The 24,709-nt window shown below is 40.3% G+C and overlaps 1 protein-coding gene across 5 annotated transcripts in view; it reads left to right on the forward strand.

Annotated features, from left to right (window-relative positions):
* DDX50 (DExD-box helicase 50) overlaps positions 1 to 16,067 on the forward strand; it is a 45,533-nt gene extending 29,466 nt beyond the window's left edge. For all 5 annotated transcript variants that reach the window (XM_011540144.3, NM_024045.2, XM_047425726.1 and 2 more), the window contains 7 exons: positions 3,419 to 3,580; positions 4,019 to 4,138; positions 5,226 to 5,299; positions 6,156 to 6,315; positions 10,280 to 10,414; positions 12,433 to 12,477; positions 15,572 to 16,067. In XM_011540144.3, coding sequence (XP_011538446.1) covers positions 3,419 to 3,580; positions 4,019 to 4,138; positions 5,226 to 5,299; positions 6,156 to 6,315; positions 10,280 to 10,414; positions 12,433 to 12,477; positions 15,572 to 15,850 — 975 coding nt within the window. In that variant the 3' untranslated portion in view covers positions 15,851 to 16,067. The remainder of the gene's footprint in view (positions 1 to 3,418; positions 3,581 to 4,018; positions 4,139 to 5,225; positions 5,300 to 6,155; positions 6,316 to 10,279; positions 10,415 to 12,432; positions 12,478 to 15,571) is intronic.

Below are 24,709 nucleotides of genomic sequence, written 5' to 3' on the forward strand. Positions count from 1 at the left end.
GTAGCTGGGACGACACGTATGTGCCCCTACAGCTGGCTAACTTTTTATTTTTTATAGAGATGGAATATCCTTACATAGCCCAGGCTGGTATTGAACTACTGGGCTCCAGCCATCTCCCGCTTTGGCCTCCCAAAGTGCTGGGATTACAGGCATGAGCCACCATGCTGGTCAGCTCTTGAATTTGTAGTCTACCTTGCCTAGCAACTCCTACTCATCCTTCAGATCTCAGTCCAAAGCATCACTTTTTAGGGAATCCTTTCTTGCCCCAAGCTAGGTCAGATTGTCCTCTTATAAAGCCTCATTGCCTCTTAGACCCGTGCATCATCCATTACATTCATTGTCTAAATTTATTTGTGGTCCTAATTATTTGATTAATGTCCATCTTTCTGACCAGGATATAAAGACTATGAGGACAGAAGCAGTCTTATTTTTGTTCACCTTTTTATCCCTAGTGCCCAACATGTTGTAGGTCATTATTATATTTGTGGAGTAAATAGGTGGTCATTGCCACCATCTTAGGCCACCGATAACCTCTTTATTTCCTTTTTCAGAAACAGGGTCTTGCTCTGTCACCCAGGCTGGTGGGTGGGTGACGGATCATTAAAAAAAAAAATATATATATATATATATGTATATATATATATATACACAAACACACACACACACAATTTTTTTTTTGAGATGGAATTTTGCTCTGTTGCCCAGGCTGGAGTGCAGTGGCACAGTCTCGGGTCACTGCAACCTCTGCCTCCCGGTTTCCAGTGATTCTCCTGCCTCAGCCTCCCAAGTAGCTAGGATTACAGGCGCCCGCCACCACACCCGGCTACTTTTTTAGTAGAGACGGGGTCTCACCATGTTGGTCTCGAACTCCTGACCTCAGGTGATCCACCTACCTCGGCCTCCCAAAGTGCTAGGATTACAGGCATGAGCCACTGTGCCTGGTCGTATAATTTAATATGTTCATGATATTTTTCTGCTTATAATCATTCAGTTGTTTCATATTGTCCTCAGGATAAAGTTCATATTCTATTCCAATCTCATCTCTCACTCCCTAACCCCTCATCCCCGCTCCCTTTTCAGTCTGTTCCAGCAGTGCTCAAATATTTGTAGGTTCCACTCCCCATTCTTTATGTATGATATTTCTTCTACCAGGAACTCCCTAGCCTTCTGCTCCTTCTTTTACCTAGTAGTTCCTTATGATGTTAGGTCTCAGCTTCAGTGCTGCTTTCCCCTCAAACAAGACTGAGTTAGATTTCCCTCTTAAGTATTCCTGTAACACTCTGAACCTATACCTGTGATAGCACACATCATACTGTATTGAAGATGCCTGTCAGCTGGTTGTCCCAGAGCCATTTCTTTATGAATGTTCTGGAACCAGGTATAATCCAGGCAGATAGCAAGTGCTCACTGAATTCATTCATGTATATGTTAAGCTATTTAGATACCAAGGCTGAAATACTGTTGGGGTTAAATTACTGTTATGAACTTCTGTTTTTTGAGACAGAGTCTCACTCTGCCACCCAGGCTAGAGTGCAGTGGAGCGATTACGGCTCACTGCAACTTTTACCTCCTGGGTTCAAATGATTCTCCTGCCTTAACCTCTCGAGTAGCTGGGATTACAGGCATGCACCACCATACCTGGCTAATCTTTGTATTTTTAGTAGAGATGAGGTTTCACCATGTTGGCCAGGCTGGTCTTGAACTCCTGACTTCAAGTGATCCACCCACGTCAGCCTCCCAAAGTGCTGGGATTACAGGCATGAGCCACTGAGCCTGGCCTGATCATTGTTATGAACTTTTTGACTTTAATATAGTGGCCAGGAATACTAGGAAGTGTATTTATAATACCAGGAAATTTGCAGCAGAGATGAAGATCTACCTAATATAAATAGGTTCAGTGTCACTAATGCAGCAGAGATGAAGATCTACCTAATATAAATAGGTTCAGTGTCACTAAAAATTACAGACATGTAAATTAAAACAACATTGGGAAATTATTTTTGCCTATTAAATTCACAAAGATTACAATGATTTATAATATACACAAGCTGGGTAGGGTATGTTGAAATAAATACTCATAGAGTATTGAAGAATAAAAGGTACACAACTTTTTTTATAATACAGTTTTTTAAATAATACAGTTTCTGTTAAAATGCTACATGTTCATAATTTTTGACCCAGAAATTCAACTTCTAGATATGTATCCTACTGAAATATACAGATACTGAGGCATCCAGAGATACAAGTACAAAGTTACAAAGTTGTTCATTGCAACATTGTTTGTTTGTTTGTTTTTTTTTTTTTTGAGATGAAGCTTCACTCTTGTCCCCCAGGCTGGAGTGCAATGGCACGATCTCAGCTCACTGCAACCTCCACCTCCCGGGTTCAAGCTATTCTCCTGTCTCAGCCTCCCAAGTAGCTGGAATTACAGGTGCCTGTCACTGCGCCTAGCTAATTTTTTGTATTTTTAGTAGAGACAGAGTTTCACCATGTTGGCCAGGCTGGTCTCAAACTCCTGACCTCGGGTGATCTGCCTGTCTCGGCCTCCCAGAGTGCTGGGATTACAGGTGTGAGCCACCATGCCCGGCCCATTGCAGCATTGTTTCTAAAGGTGAAAATGTGAATACAGCCCAAAAGTTCATCAGTAGGATATTGCTAAAATAGATGCTGGTGCATCCATATGAATAAATTATATACAGTTTAAAAAAATTAAGTAGCATTTTATCTATAGATGTGGATAGCTAAGATACACTAAATTTATCAAGTAGGTTACAAAACCCTACCTATGTAATATCCACGTTATAAATAAATACATAAAGTCATAGTATATGCTAGTGTAATGTGAGTATGTGTGTATTAAAAAAAAAAAGTGGCCGGGTGTGGTGGCTCACGCCTGTAATCCCAGCACTTTGGGAGGCAGAGGCTGGCGGATCACCTGAGGTCAGCGAGTTCAAGACCAGCCTGATCAACATGGTGAAACCCTGTTTCTACTAAAAATACAAAAATTAGCTGGGCATAGTGGCAGGCACCTGTAATCCCAGCTACTCGGGAGGCTGAGGTAGGAGAATCGCTTGAACCTGGGAGGTAGAGGTTGCAGTGAGCCAAGATCGCTCCATTGCACTCCAGCCTGGGCAATAAGAGCAAAACTCTGTCTAAAAAAAAAAAAAAATCTGACAGAATATTTACCAAACTCTTAGCAGTGAATTATTTCTAAGTCACTAGTATTAGGGAAGCTTTTACATTTTATGTTAAATATTTTCTGTCATGTTTGACTTTTTTTTTTTACAGTAAGCATGCATTGTTAAAATCATCAAAGTAAGATTTAAAAACATGCAAAAGGAGCACAGACTAGATGTTGTTGTGCTATCAGTTGCAAGTATGAGCTGTACACTTAATTTTCTCCCCCTTTCTCAAATAGAATGCCCAGTGTTTACATGGGGACATTGCACAGTCACAAAGAGAAATTACACTAAAAGGCTTCAGAGAAGGTAGTTTTAAAGTTTTGGTGGCAACCAATGTGGCTGCCCGTGGTTTGGACATTCCTGAAGTTGACCTGGTGATTCAAAGTTCTCCTCCTCAGGTAGGAAATGGGATTTGATTTGGGAAAAATAAGAGCAATTTTATAAATTCCCATTTAATTTACAACATATTGCTTGGGATGTGAAAAATATGTCATCTCTTCTTGCTCTTAGCCATTTTTTGTTAGTGTGCTATTAAATTTATCAGATTCTGATACTTTTGCAGATGATTAACTCTATTGTTTGTATTTGAAGCATGGAGCAACAAAATCAGGCAGAGAATTACAAAAAGTTGCCATAAAGAAACCTGGGATGAGGTGGATTAAAAGGTTTTAAATCATATTGCCTTTACCCCAAAATCCACACATATAAATTGTTTGGAATGTTGAAAAGGGCAACAGGATTGAAATAAATATATTATTATTAACATTATTATTTGGATTCCGGAATGACTGCAACTTGCTAGATTTTTAAAAAATATTACCTTTTATAATCTTTAGGATGTTGAGTCCTATATCCATCGCTCTGGACGCACAGGTAGAGCTGGACGGACAGGGATTTGTATATGTTTTTATCAACCAAGAGAAAGAGGTCAACTAAGATATGTGGAACAAAAAGCAGTAAGTAGAGTTAAATTATTTCAGGCTTATTGTCTAAATGGTGCCTTAAAAGAGAGCTCTTCTTATATTTATTCTTACAAGTAGGTCTTCATAACTTTTCTCAGTTTAAGCTGCATTTGGCTGTGAAGCCTGTGGAGATCTAAATTTATATTAGCTTCAAGACTTTAATACAGCTTTTATTGTGAAGACAGTGGAGCTGACTTTCTCATCTTTTCCTTGAATTTCTCTCTTCATACTAAAATCAGAAGTGCATTGTGATTTCAGTACTTCTTAGTGTAAATGGGTGACTAAAAGATTGTCTTGGTATAATAGTTAAGATTCTTTTAAGTATGGTACAATAGACAGTTTCTAAAGAAACTGTACATTTTCTGTGGTCTGGATTTTTTGTGGTATTTCACATTTTTTCCTATTTTTATATGTGTTTTTATATGCAATTTCATATACTTTGTAAAATGAGATAGTGTAATAAGGAAAAAAGCTGATAGATTTAAACATCTGTTTTGTTTTGTTTTTTTTTCAAATCAGGCTTGTTTTACAAGTGAAATTCCATGATTGTAACTAAGGGGCAATTCAAAAAATTATTTTTCTCTTTCTGAAATTTGTAATTGATGATTTATGAGAAAAAAAAGATCTTGGCTGGGTGCAGTCACTCACGCCTGTAATCCCAGCACTTTGGGAGGCGGAGATGGGCAGATCACTTGAGGTCAGGAGTTTGAGACCAGCCTGCCCAACATGGTGAAACCCCATCTCTACTAAAAATACCAAAATTAGCTGGGCATGGTGGTAGACACCTGTAATCCCAGCTACTATGGAGGCTGAGGCAGGAGAATTGCTTGAGCCCAGGAGGTGGAGGTTGCAGTGAGCCAAGATCACGCCACTGCACTCCAGCCTGGGCAACAGAGCAAGACTCTGTGTCAAAACAAAAACAAAAACAAAAACAAAAAAGATAAAACTGATCTTTTAATCTGCTAGGGCTATGAAATCTTTAAATGCAAGAAATAGAAATTCAACGAACTATTAAAATATTAATTTAGGAATTAATTGTAAAGACTTCCATTTTTCTTTAATGTAACTCTTTCATTTTCAGGGAATTACTTTTAAACGTGTAGGTGTTCCTTCTACAATGGATTTAGTTAAATCTAAAAGCATGGATGCCATCAGGTATGCTTTCTGAACTTGCTGAATAATTGTTTCTTTTGTATTAGGCTATTCATCTGTAAGCTCTCCCAGTTCAAATAGCAGAAAATTTTACCACCAGTTTTACCAGCAGACATTTAGTTATATTAAAATATAAAACAGTGGCTCATGCCTGTAATTCCAGCACTTTGGGAGGCTGAGGCGGGCAGCTCATGAGGTCAGGAGATTGAGACCATCCTGGCTAACACGGTGAAACCCTATCTCTACTAAAAAAATACAAAAAATTAGCCAGGCGTGGTGGTGGGCGCCTGTAGTCCCAGCTACTTGGGAGGCTGGAGCAGGAGAATGGTGTGAACCTGGGGGGCGGAGCTTGCAGGGAATCGAGAGTGCACCACTGCATTCCAGCCTGGGCGACAGAGCAAGACTCTGTCTCAAAAAAAAAAAAAAAAAAAAAAAAAAAATATATATATATATATATATATATATATATATATAAAATGTGGCTGGGCACTGTGGTGCACGCCTGTAATTCCAGCACTTCGGGAGGCTGAGGTGGGCAGATTGCTTGAGCTTAGGAGTTTGAGACTAGCTTGGCCAACATGGCGAAACCTTGTCTCTACAAAAAATACAAAGATTAGCCAGGAGTGGTGGCGCGTGCACCTGTAGTCCCAGCTACTTGGAAGGCTGAGGTGGGAGGATTGCTTGAGCCCGGGAGGTTGAGGCTGCAGTGAGCCAAGATCGTGCCAGTGCGCTCCAGACTGGGTGACAGAGCAAGGCTCTATCTCAAAAAAAAAAAATTACTCCTTCTTTTTCCCATTTTTCTTCTTATCTTTTATTTTTTCCCTATGTCTTGACCAAGAATACTATTTTTAAACCATAGGTCTCTGGCTTCCGTTTCTTACGCTGCTGTTGATTTTTTCCGACCATCAGCTCAGAGACTGATAGAAGAGAAAGGTGCAGTGGATGCATTGGCTGCAGCTTTAGCCCACATTTCTGGTGCATCAAGCTTTGAACCACGATCTTTGATCACCTCTGATAAGGTAGAAATCTGTGAGAAAATTGTACATGAGTGGGAAAAGGTTAAAATTGAACATAGGAAATATTGTAGTGAATTATTGTGCTTTTTGTGCAGAAAAAAACTGTTTTGCTCTATGAGAAACTGGTCTCCTTATTTTCCTCTACTCCCTAATAAATCCTTTTTTGACAATCACCTCTTCCAAATTTTTCAAACCCACAGAAAAACTGAAAGAATAATGCAGTAACCACATACGATCCACCTAGATTCAACTGTTAAAAGTCTGTATCATGTGCTTTATATCCTTTTTTAGCTCTAATTTGTAATTAAAAAAAAAATGACATGTAATAATTGTACATATTTATAGGGTATGTGGTGATGTTTCAGTACATCCGTACATACCATGTATAGGTATCAGATCAGGATCATTAGCGTATCCATCGTCTAAACATTTATCATTTCTTTGTTTTAGGAACCATTCAATATCTTCCTTCTTGCTTTATAACTTTATAAGTTTTTTTTTTTTTTTTTTTGAGATTGAGTCTTGTTCTGTTACCCAGGCTGGAGTGCAATTACGTGATCTTGGTTCACTGCAACCTCTCCCTCCCGGGTTCAAGCAATTCTCCTGTCTCACCCTCCTGAGTAGCTGGGACTACAGGCGCACGCCACCATGCCTGGCTAATTTTTGTATTTTTAGTAGAGACAGGGTTTCACCATATTGGTCAGGCTGGTCTCAAACTCCTGACCTCAGGTGATCTGCCCTCCTCAGCCTCCCAAAGTGCTGGGATTACAGGCGTGAGCCACCTCACCCGGCCTGTATTTTTTTTCTAAATCATTTGAAAGTAAGTCGAAACACCGTGATATCATCCCTAAATATTTCAACATGCATCCTCTGAGAATAAGGATATTCTGCTACATAACCACAATATAATAAGCTCATCTGTGAAAATTAATGATAGTTCTGTATCATCATCTAATATTTAGTTTATATCCATTTTTTTCTCATTATCCTGAAAATGTCTGTCTGTCTGGGTATTTGGAGAGAAATATAGGAAATGCTCACTTTGCACAGACCTTTGTTAACTGAAACTTGTATCCCAGAACCTACATTTCATTTTGTAAGTTTCCATGGAATCCTGCAAAGTAAGAAATAGACTCTGCACAATTAACACAGTAGCATGCAAAGTAAGTAAGAAATGCCTGTGTGTGTGTGGAGGGGTTGTGTAAGTGTAACACCATCTGAACTGGCCTGCTGCCAGATTCGTATCACATGTCAAAACATACCACACCAGAACCATTGGTGCAGGTAGCTCAGAGATTTTTTACTTATTCAAGTATAAGTGAGGGGAGTTTCTTGGTGAAGAGAATTTTAAATAAGAGTTCTGTTATGTCTGAGTGGAGAGAGTGAGTGAGCGAACCTGGTCCTGGAGACATCTATAAGACTAGAGCCTGCTGGTGGGATTTTCAAATAATAACAAAACAGACTAATTTGGGCAGCACATCCCTGTGATGGGGAGGAGGAAACAAAAAGGGCAGGGCAGGTTCACTTGGATGTGACTTATTTGGTGTAGCACAAATGAATGCTGCTGGGGTATCTGATGGTTTCTACCTGGTAGGTGTTAATAGTTTAGCTAAATGTCATTTTGCTTTGAGTGACTTATTGGGCTCCATTCCGTTTATCCATATGTGTACATATACCTATTTGTATGTATGTTTTTAAAAATTCAGGACCTAGTTAAGTTTTACATGTTACATTTGGTATTATGTCTCTTTAGTCTCTTTTAGTCTGGAACTGTTTTCTCATCTTTTTAATTTTTTTCTGATATTGATTTGGTGAAGAGTCTTGGTCGGTTGTTTGGTAGAATATCTCACTGTCTGGATTTGTCCGAATCTCTTCAAGCATCATTTAACTTTTGCCTTTATCCTCTTTTAAACTGAAAGTAATATCAAAGCTTGACTTTTATATTTAGGTGAAATGTTTTTGGCAAGGGTACTTTATAGTTAATATGTACCTCATATTGCATCACATCAAGAGGCATAAAATGTTAGGTTGTTCCAGTACTAGTAATGCTTAATTTGCATTTGTTTAAGATGGAAACTGCCATATTGTAAAGGTGTATTTTACTCTCTGTAATTAGTAACTTGTGGGGTGATACTTTAGCATTGAGCAGATATCCTATCCCTAGTAACCCACCAAATGCTTAAGACAGTATTTAAAACATATTTCTTTAGAAAATATTGAGATTTGAGCTAAGAAGTACCTAAGAAGTTATTTAGTCTCAACTCTCATCCAATGAAGAATCCCTCTTTGGCAGATGGGTCATTTAATCTCTGATTAAATATCTTAGAAACAGGGTGTTAGTGGCTTTAAATTTCTTTCATGGGTTAAACCAAAATCCAGTCTTTATCAGGAATGTCCTATAGGCTTTTCCTCTTGCTATCTTCTTGACGTCATGTCTTATCACTCTCCCCTTTCTTATTTCAGCCACCCTAACCTATTTGGTTTTCCTCAGACATAAACTTAACTATTACACAAGGCCTTTGTACATACTTTCATTGTCTTGAATGTTCTTCCCCTCTAATAACCATGTTGCTTCCTCCTTTACTTCATTCTGGTCTCTGCTCAAATATCATACCAGAGAGGTCTTTCTTGATCACTCTAAAATAGCTTACTCCTCCCTATACTCTTTGTTCCCTAAGCCCTGCTTTATTCCTGTTCGTGACGCTTATTACTATATGATATTCCATATATTTGCTTTTTTGTTTACTGTGTACCCCCCCACCCAACCCCACATACAGGTGTAGGTACATGCACATGCACTAGAATTTACTGTCCATGAGAGAAAGGACTACTTACTGCTGAATCTCTAGCACCTAGTACAGTCTGTGGCACATACGTAGGGCGCACTCAATAAATATTTGTTTGCTGAATGCATCCCCATATCTTCTTAATGTTGATTCTTTTGCTGTTAGTGAAGCTTTACAGAACAAATAATTTTTGCTTATGTAACACTCCTTCAAAAGTTTAAAGAAATTGTTCAGGCATGGTGGCTTATGCCTGTAATCCTAGCACTTTGGGAGGCTGAAGCAGGCAGATCACTTGAGTCCAGGGGTTCAAGACCAACCTGGGCAACCCCGTCTCTACTAAAAATACAAAAATTAGCACGGCATGGTGGCACGCACCTGTAGTTCCAGATGCTTGTGGGGCTGAGGTGAGAAGACTGCTTGAGCCCAGAAGGTTGAGGGTGCAGTGAGCTGAGATCGTGCCACTGCATTCCAACCTGGGTGACAGAGCGAGACCCTGTCTTAAAAAAAAAAAAAAAAGGTTAAAGAAATTTATGTTGTATTTACTTTTTATTTTTTTTTTGAGACAGGGTCTAGTTCTGTCACCCAGGCTGGAGTGCAGTGGTGCAATCTCGGCTCACTGCAACCTCTGCCTCCTGGGCTCCTGGGCTCAAGCCTCCCAAGTAGCTGGGACTGTAGGAGTAGGCCACCATGCCTGGCTAATTATTATTATTATTATTTTTGTAGCAATGGTTATTTCACCATGTTGCCCAGGCTGGTCTCAAACTCCTGGGCTCAAGTGACCCTCCCGCCTCGGTTTCCTAAAGTGCTGAGATTACAGGTGTGAGCCACCACACCCAGCCAAGGTTTTCGTTCCAAGCTGACTTTGACTCCTTCAACATTTCCTTAATTCTTCACTACCTTGTTGTCTTTCTTGGCTCTGGTTTGCTTAATTCTTAATTCTCTCTTAAAGCATAATGGTTAGAATTAAATAGAGTCTTACAGCAATACATAGGATAGTACTTTCAATTATCTATAAACACTATTCTTCTAATAATGTAGTTTCAAAAAAATTTTTTAGCTGCAATGTTATACTTTTGGCTCATAAGAAATGCACAGTTAAGTCTTGAAGGATTATAGAGTTAGAATTTCATTGTACTGCTGCTGATTTATTTCCAAACATAATGTGGTTTTTATTCCTTAAGGGGTTTGTGACCATGACTCTGGAAAGCCTAGAGGAAATACAGGATGTCAGCTGTGCTTGGAAAGAACTTAACAGAAAGCTGAGTAGTAATGCAGTGTCTCAGATTACCAGAATGTGCCTCCTGAAAGGAAATATGGTAGGCTTTTCCAGACAATTAAAAAGCTTTTTAATCAACTACCCCAAATGTTTACAAACACTAGCAAATTTTGTTCTTTCTCTTTGAAGCCTAATGGCATGAATAATGCTGTTTTTTCTCTGTTAGTTTGTTTCCAGTTATAAATTTGGGGCATTATATATGTAACCCATTCCTCCAGAGCTGTAAGTCATTCTGTTCAGTTTGACTATCTAATACCCAAATTATCTAAGTTTCTGCCACATACTGTATGTGGTTGTGTACATGTGTTTATTCTCTTTTTATTTTTTAAATTTTATTTATTTACGACTTTATAGTGATGAGGTCTCACTATTTGCCCAGGCTGGTCTTGAACTCTGGGGCTCAAGTGATCCTCCTACCTTGGACTCCCAAAGTACTGGGATTATAGGTGTGAGCCACTGCACCTGGCCTTTTTGTATTATTATTATTATTATTTTTATTTTTGAGACAGAGTTTCACTCTTGTCGCCCAGGCTAGAGTGCAATGGCACAATCTCGGCTCACTGCAACCTATGCCTCCTGGGTTCAAGCAGTTCTCCTGCCTCAGCCTCCTGAGTAGCTGAGATTACAGGTGCCCGCCACTATGCCCAGCTAATTTTTGTATTTTTAGTAGAGATGGGGTTTCAGCATGTTGGCCAGGCTGGTCTCGCACTCCTGACCTCAGGTGATCCTCCCGCTTCTGCCTCCCAAAGTGCTGGGATTACAGGCGTGAGCCACCATACCCTGTCCATGTTATTATTATTGTGATTATTATTTGGTAAAGATGGGATTTTGCCATGTTGCCCAGGCTGGTCTTGAACTCCTGAGCTCAAGGGATTCACCTGCCTCAGCCTCCCAAAGTGCTGGGATTACAGGCTTGAGCCACTGCACCTGGCATGTGTGTTTATTTTGTAAGACTAAGTAGCTTATGATTGCAGTAGTTAAACAGCTCTATAATTTTGAGGACATGCAGTTTGGTTTTTAAATGGCCTGCTCTTTGTTGTTAATGAATTAATGATATGAATTAAATAAATACTTTAATACATTTATATAGCAAAATTAAAACTGTAATCTTGTGACTGATTTCTTCTAATGGTTTTGAAAAATGATGTTATGTTATTAATTTAACTTTACTGCATAGGTTCATTCTAGCTTGGAATTTATTAACTAGATTGTTTATTGCAAATAATCATCTCTCTCAAAGTTTAATATTACTTGCCTTGTAAAAGGATGTGGGGCAAGTATGAGACAAATATATACTTTCAGGAAAAAAATGTAGAGGGGAGGGAAAAAATAGCAAGATCCATAGGCCAAACTAGTTGCTATACTTGAGTATTAAATTAACTTTCAGCTTATTGACAACTAAGACCATAGAAGAAACATCTTGGGTTATATAATTCTTATTATCTAACAAACATTGCAGCTTTTTTCTTTTTTTTTTGAGACAGGGTCTCACCCTGTCACCCAGGCTGGAGTGCAGTGGCGTGATCTTAGCTCACTGCCACCTCCGCCTCCCAGGCCCAAGCGATCCTCCCACCTCAGCCTCCTGAGTAGCTGGGACTACAGTCATGCATCACCACACCTGGATAATTTTTGCATTTTTTTTGTAGAGATGGAGTTTTCCCTATGTTGCCCAGGCTGGTCTTGATCGAATTCCTGGACTCAAACAATCTGTCCACCTTGGCCTCCCAAAGTGCTGGGATTACAGGCATGAACTACCACGCCTGGCCCATTGTAGCTCTTTGTAAATGAGACTTTCTATCATTAAATTTTAAAAGAAATTTATTAGAAGGATCATTTTACAAGGGACATGGAACAACATATAGGGTCTACACAAACTCTTCTAGAGAATACTGTAGATTCTTAGCAGTAGTTGTAAATTCTTATTGGATACTGTGTTTAGTTACTTTTTAAATTTAGAAAATACATTAAGCAGCCACTGAGTCATGCATTATTAGTAAAACAAAAAAAATCTACACATATGCATCTAATTTAAAATGTTTTGCTTTGTTTTGCTTTTAGGGTGTTTGCTTTGATGTTCCTACAACTGAGTCAGAAAGGTTACAGGTATTTTTAAAATTTTATCTTTTAAATGGTTGAGTACATTCTCTAACATTTAGATTGGGATATTTTGGGAAACATAGTCACAATGTCATTATCATGCCTAAATCAATGAGGAATTCCTTAATATAAAATAACCAGTCTGTCTCAAACTTAAATTTATTTTTAAAGAGATGGAGTCTCTCTCAGGCTGGAGTGCAGTGGCACAATCATAGCTCATTTGCAACCTTGAATTCCTGGGCTCAAGTGATCCTCCCACCTCAGACTCCCAAGTAGCTAGAACTACAAGGCGTGTGCCACTATGTCTGGCTAACATGAGCCACCATGCCCGGATAATTTTTTTTTTCTTTTTGTATTTTTAGTAAAGATGGGGTTTCTCCATGTTGGTCAGGCTGGGCTGAAACTCCCGACCTCAGGTGATCCACCCACCTTGGCCTCCCAAAGTGCTGGGATTACAGGCGTGAGCCACCGCTCCTGGCCCCCTGCCTGGCTAATTTTTTTAAAAAATTTTTGTAGAAACAGAGTCTGTAGCACAGGTTGGTCTTGAACTCCTGGCCTCAAGTGATCCTCCCACTTTGACCTTCCAAAGTGTTGGGAATATTGGTGTGAGCCACCATACCCAGTAAAAAATTTGTTATTATAAATCATTTCAAACATATTTTTTAGATGAGGGACTTGTATAATGAATCTCCATGTACCCAACACTCAGCTTCAACAATTATCAGTTCATAGCCAGTTTTGTTTCATTTCTGTGTCCATCTACTTACCCACTTTTCTGCATTCTTTTGAAATAAATTCTAGGTATTCTATCATTTCAACCATAAATATTTGCATATTTCTAAATATTAATGACTTTAAAAAAGACCTTATCATAATACCATAATTAAACTCCCCCAAAATAATTCCTTAATATCATCCAATTTTATTTAAATTTTTCCATTTGTTTCCTAAACTTTTTAAATACAGGGTCCATAAAGCTCATAGATTGTAATTTGATGTTTCTTAAGTCTCTTTTAATCTATAGGTTCTTCCTCCTCCCTCTCTCTCTTTTAAAAAAGTATTCCTGTGTATACTTTACTGTGTAAAGTATCTTTATCTGTTGAAGAAGGAAGTTGTCTACTGGATTCCCATAATGAAGAATTTGTCTATTGTATCTCAGTACATACTTATATACCTACTTTGAAACAAAAATGAGTATTTTGCTTTCGAAGTCTTTTTAAAAATTCAGAATATGTTAAAGACACATTTTTGTGTCAATAACACAGTTCTTTTTTTCTTTTCTTTTTATATTTTAATTTTTTGTTTGTTTATTTTGAGACAGAATCTCGCTCTGCTGCCAGGCTGCAGTGCAGTGGTGTGATCTCAGCTCACTGCAACCTCCGCCTCCCGGGTTCAAGCGATTCTCCTCCCTCAGCCTCCCGAGTAGCTGGGACTACAGGCAAATGCCACCACGCCCAGCTAATTTTTGTATTTTTAGTAGAGACGGGGTTTCACCATGTTGGCCAGGATGGTCTTGATCTCTTGACCTCATGATCCGCCCGCCTCGGCCTCCCAAAGTGCTGGGATTATAGTCTTGAGCCACTGTGCCTGGCCTTTCTTTTTATATTTTTAAATAGAGATGGGGTCTTGCTATGTTGCCCAGGCTGGTCTCAAACTCTTGGTCCCAAGTGATCCTCCCAAAGTATTGGGTTCACAGGTGTGAGCCATTGCACCCAGCCACAGTTACTTATTTTTAATGACTCCCAGGCATTTGGCCATTTGGGTGGCTGGTTTTCTTAACCAGTGTCCTATTTTCTGAAATTTAGATTATTTCTAATAATTTACTATTATTAGGACTGCCCTAAACATTGGTATAGCGAATTCTTTATGCATTGCCATGTTTATCTCTTTAAGATGAGTTTTTAAATGTGATTGCTTGGCCAAAAGGTTTGTGCCTTTTTTTTTACTTTGGTTATATATTGCCAAACCCACCAGTGGAATGTTCGTTTGTCTTTTCCCAAAAAGTACCAGTATTGGAAAGAAAGATAGCCTTAGCAACAGGGTGTCTTAATAACAACATTTTTTTTTTTTCTTTGAGACAAGAGTCACTCTGTCGCCCAGGCTGGAGTGTAGTGGCACGATCTCGGCTCACTGCAACCTCTGCCTCCCAGGTTCAAGCAATTCTCCTGCGTCAGCTTCCCGAGTAACTGGGATTACAGGCGCCCACCACCATGCCCGGCTAATTTTTGTATTTCTAGTAGAGTTGGAGTTTTACCACGTTGGCCAGGCTGGTCTCGAACTTCTGACCTCAAGTGATCTGCCCGCCTCGGCCTCCCAAAGTGCTGGGATTACAGACATGAGCTACTGTGCCCGGCCAATAACAACTTTCCTTGCCAACTCATGATCACAATAAGGAACAGTTAGTGTAGCAAGATATAAAATAGTGATGCTCTTATGGGTTACTGATTTGTATATCTTCACTTGTTTACTCCAATATCAAAGTGTTTCCAGTGGCTACATTTTTTAGTCCTTGGCTGGTGTTGACTTGTATTTAATCTCCATCATGGGCTCTTTTACTTTTTGCTTGTCAGTATACCTGCTGAAAACAACGCACTACTTATTAATGGCCTGTCTGCTTTGTGCTGAGATACCAAATAGTGCTGTTTTAGAATGTAGAAACTGAGTATAATGTATATTTTTGTACATTTATTTAATTAGTATATTTATTTAATTAGTAATACATAGTATAGTTTTAGAATGTATATTTATTAGAATAGAATATATTTAGAATGTTAGTATTAGAATAGAATGTATATTTAGAATGTTAGAATTTATTTAGAATGTATATTTAGAATGTATATTTATAGAATGTATTTAATTAGTACATGTAATTAGTAATACATAGTTTAATTTTAGAATGTATAAACTGAGTATGAATTTATGATCTCGAAAATTGAAAATATTTTTGCTTATTTTCTGGTTTTCATTTTTGTTCCAGATACGTTAACAGAATAGATGGCCTTTAGCTAATAGATATGAAAAAGGTGTCTTCTTGTACTTAACATGTTTGCTTATGGTTTCTATTTTGCATTTATATTAATCCTGTAAATTCCCCTAACAGGCAGAGTGGCATGATTCCGACTGGATACTCTCAGTGCCAGCCAAATTACCTGAAATTGAAGAATATTATGATGGAAACACATCTTCTAATTCCAGACAGAGGAGTGGCTGGTCAAGTGGTCGATCAGGCCGGTCAGGCCGGTCAGGTGGTCGATCTGGCGGCCGGTCAGGTAGACAGAGTCGACAAGGAAGTCGCTCAGGAAGTCGACAAGATGGTAGAAGACGAAGTGGGAATAGAAATCGATCAAGAAGTGGGGGCCACAAACGGAGTTTTGACTGAGTATTTGATAGTTAATCTACCAGTGTGAGCTTGCCTATTTCTGCCTAATCATGTACATTATCCACCAAAAATTAGGTCATCATAGTTGAGGTATGTGTCTGCTATTTGCAAAGAAGTTGGTCGTATTTTTTTAAAAAGTATTTCACAAGAATGGAACAAATCTACTTATCCAGTTATACCTTTGAATAAAAAAACCTCCTTTTATTGTCTCTTTTCACTTATGTGTTAAGAATTTTCTCAATGTAATCTCAAAAATTTCTTTAAAAACTTGGCAATCAGGCCAGGTGCGGTGGCTCATGGCTGTAATCCCAGCACTTTGGGAGGCTGTGTTGGGCGGATCACTTGAGGTCAGGAGTTTGAAACCAGCCTGACCAACATGGTGAAACCCCAACTCTATTAAAAATACAAAAATTAGCTGGACATGGTGGTACATGCCTGTAATCCCAGCTACTCGGGAGGCCGAGGCAGGAGAATCACTTGAACCCAGGAGGTAGAGGTTGCAGTGAGCCGAGATCATGTCACTGCACTCCAGCCTGGGCAATAGAGTGAGACTCTGTCTCAAAACAAACAAACAAAACTTGGTAGTCAAGCTAATCATAACATAAGATTACTTGCATTTTACAAAATGTGATGTATTTGTATTCATATAATTCCTCCCATAGGTTATGTGATAAAAATAAGAAATTCCCTTCTACATTAAAGGGCTGTGTAAACTGTTGACATGGTTAGTTAGGTGTATCATTTTAGTCTAGACACAGTTAATTAAAAGAGTGTGCCAACAGTGCATACTCATTAATTTATTCCACAGATATTTATTGAATTTCTACTATGTTTCCATCACTATGCTAACCACTGGGGAGTATAGTTGTGAATAAGGCATAATCACTATCCTTAAGGAACTTAGAGTCAATTATTACAGACTAACAAATAAAAGCTAAGACAGTGGTAGGTATGGTATGCTAAGGACCTACTTGGGGTACACCTGACCAGTTTTAGCAGTCAGGAAGGCCTTTTAAAAGTGATACCCAACAGAGAAATAAAGAAGTATCCATTTAGCCACATGTATGTACAGGTGGGAAGAGGAGTTTAGAAGGGAGAGGGCTTGCAGGCAGAGAGAACAACATATGCGGACACCAGAGGCAAAGAATAGCATGGTAAGTCTGAGGTTTCCATATGATAGAGAACAGGAATAAGAGACTGGTTCAGTATTTAACAGGGACAGATTTTAAAGGCCTTATGTACATTGTTAAGGAGTTTAAAGCTTTTCTTGAAGACAGTGGGTAATCATTTAAGGGCTTAAAGTAAGGAGTAACATGATTTGATTTACATTTTAGAAAGAATGCTGGCCACACTGAAGAGACTGGATTGGAGAAAAGCCAGACTGGAGGCCTGGAGACCTCTTAAGATGCCATAGGAGTAATCTATGGTAGAGATGCTGGTGATCTGAACTAATGCTAAGTAACATATTTTGAGGGATGAGAACTGAGGCACTTGAGAGGTTGTTACTTGTCCAGAATCATGCAGCTGGATGATGTGAGGTAAATGAGGATTTGAACCCAGAAAAATGTCTAGCTTCTGAACCAGCACTCTTAACCACTGCACTAAATAGTGGCAGTGGACACTGAGAAACATGGATAGGTTTCAGAGGTTTTTTTTTCTTTTTTTAGACGGAGTCTCGCTGTGTCACACAGGCTGGAGTGCAGTGGCGCGATCTTGGCTCACTGCAACCTCCGCTTCCTGGGTTCAAGTGATTCTTCTGCCCCAGCCTCCCGAGTAGCTGGGACTACAGGCACGTGCCACTATGCCCAGCTGATTTTTTGTATTTTTAGTAGAGACGGGGTTTCACCGTGTTAGCCAGGATGGTCTCAATCTTCTGACCTCGTGATTTACTGCCTGCCTTGGCCTCCCAAAGTGCTGCGATTACAGGTGTGACCCACTGCGCCCGGCCGGTTTCAAAGGTTTTTAGGAGACAGAATTCTTAGGACTCAGATAGTGGATTGAAAGATGAGAGGGAAACAGAATAAAACCTAGTTTTTTTTGTTTTTTTTTTTTAAGATGAGGTCTCACGCTGTTGCCCTAGCTAGAGTGCAGTGGCTCAATCCAGGCTCACAGCAACCTCAACCTCCTAGGCTCAAGTGACTCTCCCACCTCAGCCACTCTAGTAGCTGGGACTACAGGTGCATGCCACCAAGTCCAGCAAAAAACCTAGATTTTGTCCCTGAGATAGGGTACAAGGAGGAAGAGCAAGAAAAGTTAAGAGGGGTTGGGAATATGATTAGTTCAGGATTAGATATATTTTAATATTAAGTAGCCCATGAAATATGTAAAAGGAAATAAACAGTAGACAATTAGATTTGTAAGTCTGAAGCTCAGGAGAGATATTTGTTCTAGAGATAAAAGTTTGGGAATGATAGACCAAAAAATGATAATTGTAGTTAAGCTAGTAGATGAGATTATCCAAGTATGGTAAGAGCAGAGGACTGAGGAGGGAAGCCAGAGGGCTACCAATGTACTTAATTCATAGTAGAAGAAAGAGGACTCCATTGAGAAGAGATGAGGAGGATAGAAAGCCCAGGAGTGTGTGGCTTTTAGAGGAAACAGGACGAGCTGGAAATGGTCATTGGTTGTGGCAAAAGAAACTTCATAGGGAGCACATAGTAATAAGAGTATTGAGAATAGAAGCTAGTTAGCAGTGGGTTCAGTAGGAAATGGTAGATGAAGTGGTGAGAACAAACATGAAGATCTCATTCTGAAATCTGATTGTGAATAGGGAAGAATAAGCAAAAGCTTATTCTTTTGCTTACAAGGACATGAAATTCTGGCAAGGATTTTCTGTGTATGTGTGGGAGGTGGGGTATTTGAGCATGTTGAAATATGGTAGGAAGAAGCCCTAAAGGAGGGAGGGCAACATGAAGTTTCAGGAGAAGGAATATATGGGATCAAGCACACAACTAGAGATTTTAGCTTTATTTATTCATTGTTTATTTTTTAAAAGTTTACTTATTAGGCCAGGCGTGGTGGCTTATGCCTATAATCCCAGCACTTTGGGAGGCTAAGGCTATAATCCCAGCACTTTGGGAGGCTAAGATCACCTGAGCTCAGGAGTTCGAGACCAGCCTGGCTAACATGGGGAAACCCTGTCTCTACTAAAAATACAAAAATTAGCCAGGCGTGGTGGCAGGTGCCTGTAATCCCAGCTACTCAGGAGGCTGAGGCAGGTGAATCGCTTGAACCTGGGAGGTGGAGGCTGAAGTGAGTTGGGATTGCACCAATGCACTTGCAGCCTGGGTGACAGAGCGAGACTCTGTCTCAAAAAAAAGAAAAAATATATTTATTGATTGATAGGGTCTTGCACTGTTGCCCGGGCTGGTGTGCAGTGGTGCATTCATGGCTCACTGCAGCCTCGATCTCCCAGGCCCAACTGATCCTCTCACTTCAGCCTCCTGAGTAGCTGGGACTACAGGTGTGTGCTACCATACCCAGCTAGTTTTTGTGGGTTTTTTTTGTAGGGATCAAGTCCCACTATGTTGCCCAGGCTGGTCTGAAACTCCAAGGCTCAAGCAGTCCTTCCATCTCGGCCTCCCAAAATGCTCAGTTAACAGGTGTGAGCCATGTGAGCCACTGTGCCTAGGCATTTTTTTTTTTTTATTGGCTGTGTTGCCCAGGCTGGTCTTGAACTGGACTCAAGTGATCCTCTTAACCTCCTGAGTAGCTAGGATTACAGGTGCATACCACTGTTCCTGGCTAGAGATTTTAGCCTTAGATAGCATAACATTTTGTCAGGGAGAAAGTATGATTATCTTGCAGATATTAAGGTAACTACAGGTGGAACAATTAAGTGATTTCCTATATTAACACAGCATTCTGTTGTAGGAATGGAGATGAGGGATAGTTGATTGACCCAGGATTGGAGTTTTACTTTGTGAGTGAAAGGATGACGAGGTAAAGATGCCGAAGACTCTGGCAAAAGTGATTGGAGTAATGGTCCATGGAGTCTAGACTGCCTAGGGATTGAAGTGGAGATGGGGTTGATAACGGAGAATGTAGAGGAGGCAAGGGACTGAAGGTCCATGAAGGCTGTCTGAACTTGAGATTTCAAGAATGGAGCAACTGGGGAGAAGCAAGTGCAGGGTATGACCTTTGTCTGTTGGGACAAAGGTCACCTCAGTTGTAGTGGTCAAAGCAGTGGGTATGTGGGTGGTACTCAAGGACAGTGAGGTCTCCTATGATGAAAACAAGCCAACACTGCAGTAAGGAAGACTAACCCGATTCGAAAATATCAGTGAATGGTGGAGGCTAGGAAATAACCTGAATGAGGAGGGGTAGGGTGACATTATGCCTTATCTTCAAAGGGATGAGAGCTTTTACATGAAAGTGGAGTAATGGTTTGGAAATGGATTTGAGGAAAAGAGGACTCTGACATCAACTGGGATATGGGGAATTTCAGGGAATGGGCAACATCTTGTGTGTGAAACCTGCAGAGGGTGGGTTTTCAGAAAGAGCCAGATTTCAGTTAAGCCAAGGAGGCAGGGAAGGACTTTCAGTGCTGGATTGTGGAAGGTGGAAGTTTTGATTTGGGGGGCTAGTGTTACAGACAGACACAACTGGGGGGAAAATCTCAGTCTGCTTTGCATTTGAGCAACTGAGTTGTAGTATAACCAAGATGAAACAGGGGCTCCATTCATATTAAGTTGCATGAGTACTACTATGTTCAGTCAGAATATGTTGTGTGACTACAGTGTCCCAGGCAATATGTTTTGGGTTAATAAGCAGTGCCTAGTCTCTACTCTGGAGCTCAGAATCTAGTGAAATAAGTGGACAAATAAACCTATGTCCATGGGAATGACTAACTACAATGATTTGTGAACACTGAGCAAGGGCACCTGGCCCTGGAATGGGAGTGGGGGTTCAGGGAAGGCTTTTTAGACGTGATGGCTGAGCGTTAAGTAGGTAAAAGAAACAGGAAACCTTGCATCCAAGCAAAGGCACAGAAAAGCTGATGAAACAACATGGTCTTAAGTATGGGGAACTATGAGTAGCTCTTGTTGCTGGGATCGTGACTGTGAGGAAGGCAATGGTGAGAACAAGGCAAGATGTGTTATATCTTGGAGGGCTTTGTAGGTCTTGTTTTGGATAGCTGTTGGAGGGTTTCAGGGAAGAGTGAAAAAGATAAGTATATAGGTAAATGCCAACAGGGTGGATGGGTTTAAGAGAGTCTACCTGCTAAAGGTCAGATGCCCTATTAGCAAGGGTCCTAACAAAATTAAATAATAGCTTTCCACATGTTTTGAAAGTAGGATGGGGCCAGGCAAATTTCTCATCAAATTCTCAGCTTTGGGCTGCACTCGGCCACTGGTATCTTTACTCTTCTTCCTTTTAGAAGCCAGTACCTTCATGGCTCCCTTTTTTTGGCTTTTGGCCTCCTGTTTGGTACTCTGTGCTCTAGTCATTTAACAGCTATTTGAACTAGAATCAGTTACTCTGATCTTCAGTTTTTGAATTTATAAATGAAATAACATCTGCTTTATTCTCTCCAGCTTTAGAATTATGAATTCACTTTTAGGTTTAAATATCTTGAGAGTCTTCTCTCACATTGTTTTTGTTTCCTGTATTTTGGGGATAGTGCTTAACAGTAGTTTTTAAAAACCATATTCCTTTTTTTTTTCCTTATAAGTATACATGTCAGGCAGGGCGCAGTGACTCACGCCTGTAATCCCAACACTTGGGAGGCTGAGACAGGTGGATCACTGAAGGTCGGGAGTTTGAGACCAGCCTGGGCAACATGGTGAAACCCCATCTCTACTAAAAAGACAAAAATTAGCTGGGCATGGTGGCAGGCGCCTGTAATCTCAGCAACTTGGGAGGCTGAGGCAGGAGAATTGCTTGAACTCAGCAGGTGGAGGTTACAGTGAGCCAAGATCGCGCCACTGTACTCCAGCCTGGACGACAGAGTGAGACTTCGCCTCAAAAAAAAAAAAGATACATGTCCATTGTTGGGAATCTAAAAAAGTAGAGAAGCAAATGGAAGACTATAAAAACCACCCACAGTCACATTACTCAGAAAGAATGACTGCTAACATTTTATTTTGTAGACTTTTGAATTCGTTGTGTGTGTGTGTATACATGCTTTTAAAAATACAAATTCTCCCTCTAATTTTGTGAAAACATTACATCATCCAGATCAGAGGAAATAGGCCTGGCAAAATATTGATATTTAAGCATTCAAGGATATTCAACATTTCCTATCAAATTTTTCCTCTTTTTTTTTTTTTTTTTTTGGAGATAGGGTCTTGCTCTGTCACCCAGGCTGGAGTGCAGTGGTGCAATCTTGGCTCACTGCAACCTCCGCCTCCCAGGTTCAAGCAATTCTTGTGCTTCAGCCTCCCAAGTAGCTGGGACTACAGGTGTGCACCACCATATCCAGCTCCTATCAAATTTATGTAAGCTATTCTTCGTCTTGTTATTGAATTTTATACTGATGACAAGATAATTAATTGGCTACCTTTTGTCAAATGGGCCTTTTGCATGTTTCCTGGTGGAAATTTGGGTTTGTCCCTATATGCAGGTTACAAAGGAACTTATTTTAGAAGCTTTGAAAAGTTTTCCATTTAGTACCATTCTGGGGCTTACTCTCTTGTTGAATATCTCTTGATAATAAACATGTCCCTGTACTGTATGCAGTAGTATCATGTATATAGCAGGATCATGTAGTGTTGTGGTTTGTCAACCAGACTGCAGGTTCTTTGAGGTGGGGACTGGGCCTCCACTTAGTATCTAAACTACATGATACAATGGTGAAACCAGAGATGTTAAGCATTTTGTTGGCCAATTAGTTGACTGCATTCATGCTTGCTCTCCTTTCTTCCACATCTAACACCAGGATGACTCAGGTACTTTCGTACCTGGGCATATAGCTAAAATTTATTTCAAGGGGTTCCCCTCCACCACTGCCATGTTAACATTCATTAAACACTTAATTACAGATTACTATGTACCAGGCACTGTCTGAAATTTTGAGGACACAAAGATGAATAAATCAAGGCTCCTGGCTCAGGGATATCAGAATATAAGTTAAAGCACTGTTGCACATTTTCACAAATTGTTAAAAAAATTTGAGACCATGGCTGGGCGTGGTGGCTCACACCTGTAATCCCAGCCCTTTGGGAGGCCAAGGCAGGTGGACCACCTGAGGTCAGGAGTTCGAGACCAGCCTGGCTAAGATGGTGAAACCTTGTCTCTACTAAAAATAGAAAAATTAGCCGGGTGTGGGGGCAGGCGCCTGTAATCCCAGCTACTGAGGAGGCTGAGGCAGGAGAATTGCTTGAACCTGGGAGGCGGAGGTTGCAGTGAGCTGAGATCGCGCCACTGCACTCCAGCCTGGGCAACAGAGTGAGACTCTGTCTCAAAAAAAAAAAAAAAAAAATTGAGACCACGAAACATCAAATAATAGTTTAGGTGAAACAAAATTTTTCCTTGAAACTCTCAGATTAAAAAATGTGCAGTAGACCAGGCACAGTGGCTCGAGCCTATAATCCCAGCACTTTGGGAGGCCGAGGCGGGAGGATCGTGAGGTCAGGAGATCGAGACCATCCTGGCTAACACGGTGAAACCCCGTCTCTACTAAAAATACAAAAAATTAGCCGGGTGTGGTGGTGGGCGCCTGTAGTCCCAGCTACTTGGGAGGCTGAGGCAGGAGAATGGCGTGAACCCGGGAGGCAGAGCTTGCAGTGAGCTGAGATCACGCCACTGCACTCCAGCCTGGGCCACAGAGTGAGACTGTCTCCAAAAAAAAAAAAAGTGCAGTAATCAGAAATACAGAAATACTTTTCCAGCATTTTCCTTTATCATAAAATGTAATATTTTAAATTGTGTTTTCAAATCCTTGTGACACACTAAGTTTTAATAGTTTTCATTGATTGTGCTCTGTGTGTCAGGCACTGCCAGACCATTTTCTGCCATTATCTTATTTAATTTTCTCAATTGATGAAGTAGGTTTTGTTATCCTCATTTCATACAAGGGAAACTTGGGTTCAGATAAGGTAATGTTTCCAAAAATAACAGAGCAGACTGGGTATGGTGGCTCCTGCCTGTAATCCCAGTACTTTGGGAGGCGGAGGTGGGAAGATCACTTGAGCTCAGGAGTTCAAAACCAGCCTGGGCAACATGGCAAAACTCCGTCTCTACAAAAAAAAAAAAAATTAAAAAATTAGCCAGGCAGGGTGGCACATGCCTGTAGTCCCAGCTACTCGGGAGACTGAGGTGGGAGGATCGTTTGACTCTGGGAGGTCGAGGCTGCAATGAGCCATGATCACGCCATTACACTCCACTCCAGCCTGGGCAACAGAGGGAGAACCTGTCTCAAAAAAATGAAATAGATAAAGACTGGGCGCTGTGGCTCATGCCTATAGTCCCAGCACTTTGGAACGCTGAGGCGGATGGGTGGATAACCTGAAGTCAGGAGTTCGAGACCAGCCTGGTGAAGATGGTGAAGCCCCATCTCTACTAAAAATACAAAAATTAGCTGGGTGTCGTGGTGCAGGCCTGTAATCCCAGCTACTCGGGAGGCTGAAGGATGAGAATCGCTGGAGGCAGAGGTTGCAATGAGCTGAGATAGCGCCACTTCATCCAGCTTGGGCAACAGAGCGAGACTCCGTCTCAAAAAAACAAAAAGGCCGATTTTCAATGTCAGATATTATTCTATCCCATTTTTGAAATTTATTTTTTCTTTTATATATATGAAATATTTTATTTATATATTATATATGTGTGTGTATATATAGATATATAGACATAGGGGTTTTGCTGTGTCGCCAGGGCTAGTCTTTAAGTCCTGGCTTCTTTGGAGGCTGAGGCAGGAGA

The sequence above is a fragment of the Homo sapiens genome, chromosome 10, assembly GCF_000001405.40.
Source record: "Homo sapiens chromosome 10, GRCh38.p14 Primary Assembly".
Classification (NCBI taxonomy): domain Eukaryota; kingdom Metazoa; phylum Chordata; class Mammalia; order Primates; family Hominidae; genus Homo; species Homo sapiens.